A 6,370-nucleotide genomic window follows, 5' to 3' on the forward strand; every position below is an offset into this window, starting at 1 on the left:
ACAGCCATCACAAAAATGGCTAAGAACCCACTTGAAACAAATGAAAAATACAAATGAAATAAAGCAAGTCTCAGCAAAGAAACAGAAGATATAAAGGAGAACAAAATGGGAATTTTAGATCTGAAAAATATAATAACAAAAATTTTAAAACTTACCAGATGGAATGAACAGCAGAATGGAGAAGACAGATTAAAGAATCAGTGAATTTGAAGATAGAGCAATAGAAATGACCAATTTACCAATCTGAACAACAGAGAAAAAACAGACTGAGAAAAAGATGAAGCAAATTTAAGAATTTGTGGGACTATAACAAAAGATCTAACATTCATGCAACGGTGGTCTGAGAAGGAGAGAGAAAAAAGGGCAGAACTGAAAAGGTAGTTTTTAAATGTATGCCTAAAAATTTCCCAAAGTTGGCAAAAGACATAAACCTACAGATTCAAGAATGTAAATAAACTGTAAACAGAATAAACACAAAGAAATCTACACCATGACACAGAATGGTCAAACTGAAAACTAAAGATAAAGAAGAAAGTCTTGAAAGCAATTACAGGAGAAAACATCTTACCTATTTTGGGTGGTGAATGGAAGGTGGTGGAAGAAACAGTTTCATTGACAGCAGATTTATCATGAGAAACCATGGAGGCCAGAAGGAAATGGCACAATATTTTTCAAATGCTGAAAGAAAAAAACCCCTTATCTAGTAAAAATATCCTTCAAGAATGAACAAGAAATCAAGATAGTCTCGGATGAAAGAAAAGTAAGAGAACTTATTGTTAGCAAACCTTCTCTAAAAGAATAGCCAAAGTTTTTGAAACAGAACAGAAATGATAAAAGGTATCTTGAACATCAAAAAGTAAGAACAAGAAAAGTAAAAATTGGGGGAGGAGCCAAGATGGCGGAATAGGAACAGCTCCGGTCTACAGCTCCCAGCGGGAGCGATGCAGAAGATGGGTGATTTCTGCATTTCCATCTGAGGTACTGGGTTCATCTCACTAGGGAGTGCCAGACAGTGGGCGCAGGCCAGTGGGTGCGCGCACCGTGCGCGAGCTGGGGCAGGGCGAGGCATTGCCTCACCTGGGAAGCGCAAGGGGTCAGGGAGTTCCCTTTCCGAGTCAAAGAAAGGGGTGACGGACGCACCTGGAAAATCGGGTCACTCCCACCAGAATATTGCGCTTTTCAGACCGGCTTAAAAAACGGCGCACCACGAGACTATATCCCACACCTGGCTCAGAGGGTCCTACGCCCACGGAATCTCGCTGATTGCTAGCACAGCAGTCTGAGATCAAACTGCAAGGCGGCAGCGAGGCTGGGGGAGGGGTGCCCGCCATTGCCCAGGCTTGCTTAGGTAAACAAAGCAGCCGGGAAGCTGGACTGGGTGGAGCCCACCACAGCTCAAGGAGGCCTGCCTGCCTCTGTAGGCTCCACCTCTGGGGGCAGGGCACAGACAAACAAAAAGACAGCAGTAACCTCTGCAGACTTAAATGTCCCTGTCTGACAGCTTTGAAGAGAGCAGTGGTTCTCCCAGCACGCAGCTGGAGATCTGAGAACGGGCAGACTGCCTCCTCAAGTGGGTCCCTGACCCCTGACCCCCGAGCAGCCTAACTGGGAGGCACCCCCCAGCAGGGGCACACTGACACCTCACACTGCAGGGTATTCCAACAGACTTGCAGCTGAGGGTCCTGTCTGTTAGACGGAAAACTAACAAACAGAAAGGACATCCACACCGAAAACCCATCTGTACATCACCATCATCAAAGACCAAAAGTAGATAAAACCACAAAGATGGGGAAAAAACAGAACAGATAAACTGGAAACTCTAAAACGCAGAGCACCTCTCCTCCTCCAAAGGAACGCAGTTCCTCACCAGCAACGGAACAAAGCTGGATGGAGAATGATTTTGACGAGCTGAGAGAAGAAGGCTTCAGACGATCAAATTACTCTGAGCTACGGGAGGACATTCAAACCAAAGGCAAAGAAGTTGAAAACTTTCAAAAAAATTTAGAAGAATGTATAACTAGAATAACCAATACAGAGAAGTGCTTAAAGGAGCTGATGGAGCTGAAAACCAAGGCTCGAGAACTACGTGAAGAATGCAGAAGCCTCAGGAGCCGACGCGATCAACTGGAAGAAAGGGTATCAGCAATGGAAGATGAAATGAATGAAATGAAGTGAGAAGGGAAGTTTAGAGAAAAAAGAATAAAAAGAAATGAGCAAAGCCTCCAAGAAATATGGGACTATGTGAAAAGACCAAATCTACGTCTGATTGGTGTACCTGAAAGTGATGCGGAGAATGGAACCAAGTTGGAAAACACTCTGCAGGATATTATCCAGGAGAACTTCCCCAATCTAGCAAGGCAGGCCAACGTTCAGATTCAGGAAATACAGAGAACGCCACAAAGATACTCCTCGAGAAGAGCAACTCCAAGACACATAATTGTCAGATTCACCAAAGTTGAAATGAAGGAAAAAATGTTAAGGGCAGCCAGAGAGAAAGGTCGGGTTACCCTCAAAGGGAAGCCCATCAGACTAACAGCGGATCTCTCGGCAGAAACTCTACAAGCCAGAAGAGAGTGGGGGCCAATATTCAACATTCTTAAAGAAAAGAATTTTCAACCCAGAATTTCATATCCAGCCAAACTAAGCTTCATAAGTGAAGGAGAAATAAAATACTTTACAGACAAGCAAATGCTGAGAGATTTTGTCACTACCAGGCCTGCCCTAAAAGAGCTCCTGAAGGAAGCACTAAACATGGAAAGGAACAACTGGTACCAGCTGCTGCAAAATCATGCCAAAATGTAAAGACCATCGAGGCTAGGAAGAAACTGCATCAGCTAACGAGCAAAATCACCAGCTAACATCATAATGACAGGATCAAATTCACACATAACAATATTAACTTTAAATGTCAATGGACTAAATTCTCCAATTAAAAAACACAGACTGGCAAGTTGGATAAAGAGTCAAGACCCATCAGTGTGCTGTATTCAGGAAACCCATCTCACGTGCAGAGACACACATAGGCTCAAAATAAAAGGATGGAGGAAGATCTACCAAGCAAATGGAAAACAAAAAAAGGCAGGGGTTGCAATCCTAGTCTCTGATAAAACAGACTTTAAACCAACAAAGATCAAAAGAGACAAAGAAGGCCATTACATAATGGTAAAGGGATCAATTCAACAAGAGGAGCTAACTATCCTAAATATATATGCACCCAATACAGGAGCACCCAGATTCATAAAGCAAGTCCTGAATGACCTACAAAGAGACTTAGACTCCCACACATTAATAATGGGAGACTTTAACACCCCACTGTCAACATTAGACAGATCAACGAGACAGAAAGTCAACAAGGATACCCAGGAATTGAACTCAGCTCTGCACCAAGCAGACCTAATAGACATCTACAGAACTCTCCACCCCAAATCAACAGAATATACATTTTTTTCACCACCACACCACACCTATTCCAAAATTGACCACATAGTTGGAAGTAAAACTCTCCTCAGCAAATGTAAAACAACAGAAATTATAACAAACTATCTCTCAGACCACAGTGCAATCAAACTAGAACTCAGGATTAAGAATCTCACTCAAAGCCACTCAACTACATGGAAACTGAACAACCTGCTCCTGAATGACTACTGGGTACATAACGAAATGAAGGCAGAAATAAAGATGTTCTTTGAAACCAACGAGAACAAAGACACAACATACCAGAATCTCTGGGACGCATTCAAAGCAGTGTGTAGAGGGAAATTTATAGCACTAAATGCCCACAAGAGAAAGCAGGAAAGATCCAAAATTGACACCCTAACATCACAATTAAAAGAACTAGAAAAGCAAGAGCAAACACATTCAAAAGCTAGCAGAAGGCAAGAAATAACTAAAATCAGAGCAGAACTGAAGGAAATAGAGACACAAAAAACCCTTCAAAAAATCAATGAATCCAGGAGCTGGTTTTTTGAAAGGATCAACAAAATTGATAGACCACTAGCAAGACTAATAAAGAAAAAAAGAGAGAAGAATCAAATAGACACGATAAAAAATGATAAAGGGGATATCACCACTGATCCCACAGAAATACAAACTACCATCAGAGAATACTACAAACACCTCTACACAAATAAACTAGAAAATCTAGAAGAAATGGATACATTCCTCGACACATACACCCTCCAAAGACTAAACCAGGAAGAAGTTAAATCTCTGAATAGACCAATAACAGGAGCTGAAATTGTGGCAATAATCAATAGTTTACCAACCAAAAAGAGTCCAGGACCAGATGGATTCACAGCCGAATTCTACCAGAGGTACAAGGAGGAACTGGTACCATTCCTTCTGAAACTATTCCAATCAATAGAAAAAGAGGGAATCCTCCCTAACTCATTTTATGAGGCCAGCATCATTCTGATACCAAAGCCGGGCAGAGACACAACCAAAAAAGAGAATTTTAGACCAATATCCTTGATGAACATTGATGCAAAAATCCTCAATAAAATACTGGCAAACCGAATCCAGCAGCACATCAAAAAGCTTATCCACCATGATCAAGTGGGCTTCATCCCTGGGATGCAAGGCTGGTTCAATATATGCAAATCAATAAATGTAATCCAGCATATAAACAGAGCCAAAGACAAAAACCACATGATTATCTCAATAGATGCAGAAAAAGCCTTTGACAAAATTCAACAACCCTTCATGCTAAAAACTCTCAATAAATTAGGTATTGATGGGACGTGTTTCAAAATAATAAGAGCTATCTATGACAAACCCACAGCCAATATCATACTGAATGGGCAAAAACTGGAAGCATTCCCTTTGAAAACTGGCACAAGACAGGGATGCCCTCTCTCACCGCTCCTATTCAACATAGTGTTGGAAGTTCTGGCCAGGGCAATCAGGCAGGAGAAGGAAATAAAGGGTATTCAATTAGGAAAAGAGGAAGTCAAATTGTCCCTGTTTGCAGATGACATGATTGTATATCTAGAAAACCCCATCGTCTCAGCCCAAAATCTCCTTAAGCTGATAAGCAACTTCAGCAAAGTCTCAGGATACAAATTCAATGTACAAAAATCACAAGCATTCTTATACACCAACAACACACAAACAGAGAGCCAAATCATGAGTGAACTCCCATTCACAATTGCTTCAAAGAGAATAAAATACCTAGGAATCCAACTTACAAGGGATGTGAAGGACCTCTTCAAGGAGAACTACAAACCACTGCTCAATGAAATAAAAGAGGATACAAACAAATGGAAGAACATTCCATGCTCATGGGTAGGAAGAATCAATATCATGAAAATGGCCATACTGCCCAAGGTAATTTACAGATTCAATGCCATCCCCATCAAGCTACCAATGACTTTCTTCACAGAATTGGAAAAAACTACTTTAATGTTCATATGGAACCAAAAAAGAGCCCGTATCGCCAAGTCAATCCTAAGCCAAAAGAACAAAGCTGGAGGCATCACACTACCTGACTTCAAACTATACTACAAGGCTACAGTAACCAAAACAGCATGGTACTGGTACCAAAACAGAGATATAGAACAATGGAACAGAACAGAGCCCTCAGAAATAATGCCGCATACCTACAACTATCTGATCTTTGACAAACCTGAGAAAAACAAGCAATGGGGAAAGGATTCCCTATTTAATAAATGGTGCTGGGAAAACTGGCTAGCCATATGGAGAAAGCTGAAACTGGATCCCTTCCTTACACCTTATACAAAAATCAATTCAAGATGGATTAAAGATTTAAACGTTAGACCTAAAACCATAAAAACCCTGGGAGAAAACCTAGGCATTACCATTCAGGACATAGGCATGGGCAAGGACTTCATGTCCAAAACACCAAAAGCAATGGCAACAAAAGCCAAAATTGACAAATGGGATCTAATTAAACTAAAGAGCTTCTGCACAGCAAAAGAAACTACCATCAGAGTGAACAGGCAACCTACAACATGGGAGAAAATTTTTGCAACCTACTCATCTGACAAAGGGCTAATATCCAGAATCTACAATGAACTGAAACAAATTTACAAGAAAAAAACAAACAACCCCATCAAAAAGTGGGCGAAGGACATGAACAGACACTTCTCAAAAGAAGACATTTATGCAGCCAAAAAACACATGAAAAAATGCTCATCATCACTGGCCATCAGAGAAATGCAAATCAAAACCACTATGAGATATCATCTCACACCAGTTAGAATGGCAATCATTAAAAAGTCAGGAAAAAACAGGTGCTGGAGAGGATGTGGAGAAATAGGAACACTTTTACACTGTTGGTGGGACTGTAAACTAGTTCAACCATTGTGGAAGTCAGTGTGGCGATTCCTCAGGGATCTAGAACTAGAAATAC

At 41.0% G+C, this 6,370-nt stretch overlaps 2 annotated features.

Moving 5' to 3' along the window:
* Positions 574-1,187: an enhancer, noted in NCBI's record as "H3K27ac-H3K4me1 hESC enhancer chr18:32785437-32786050 (GRCh37/hg19 assembly coordinates)". NCBI's record gives its function as "activates a minimal SCP1, AML or CMV promoter by ChIP-STARR-seq in primed H9 embryonic stem cells {active_cell/tissue: H9 hESC(primed)}" and the evidence as "EXISTENCE:reporter gene assay evidence [ECO:0000049][PMID:30033119]".
* Positions 1,188-1,800: an enhancer, noted in NCBI's record as "H3K27ac-H3K4me1 hESC enhancer chr18:32786051-32786663 (GRCh37/hg19 assembly coordinates)". NCBI's record gives its function as "activates a minimal SCP1, AML or CMV promoter by ChIP-STARR-seq in primed H9 embryonic stem cells {active_cell/tissue: H9 hESC(primed)}" and the evidence as "EXISTENCE:reporter gene assay evidence [ECO:0000049][PMID:30033119]".

The sequence above is a fragment of the Homo sapiens genome, chromosome 18 (genome assembly GCF_000001405.40).
Source record: "Homo sapiens chromosome 18, GRCh38.p14 Primary Assembly".
In the NCBI taxonomy this organism is placed as follows: domain Eukaryota; kingdom Metazoa; phylum Chordata; class Mammalia; order Primates; family Hominidae; genus Homo; species Homo sapiens.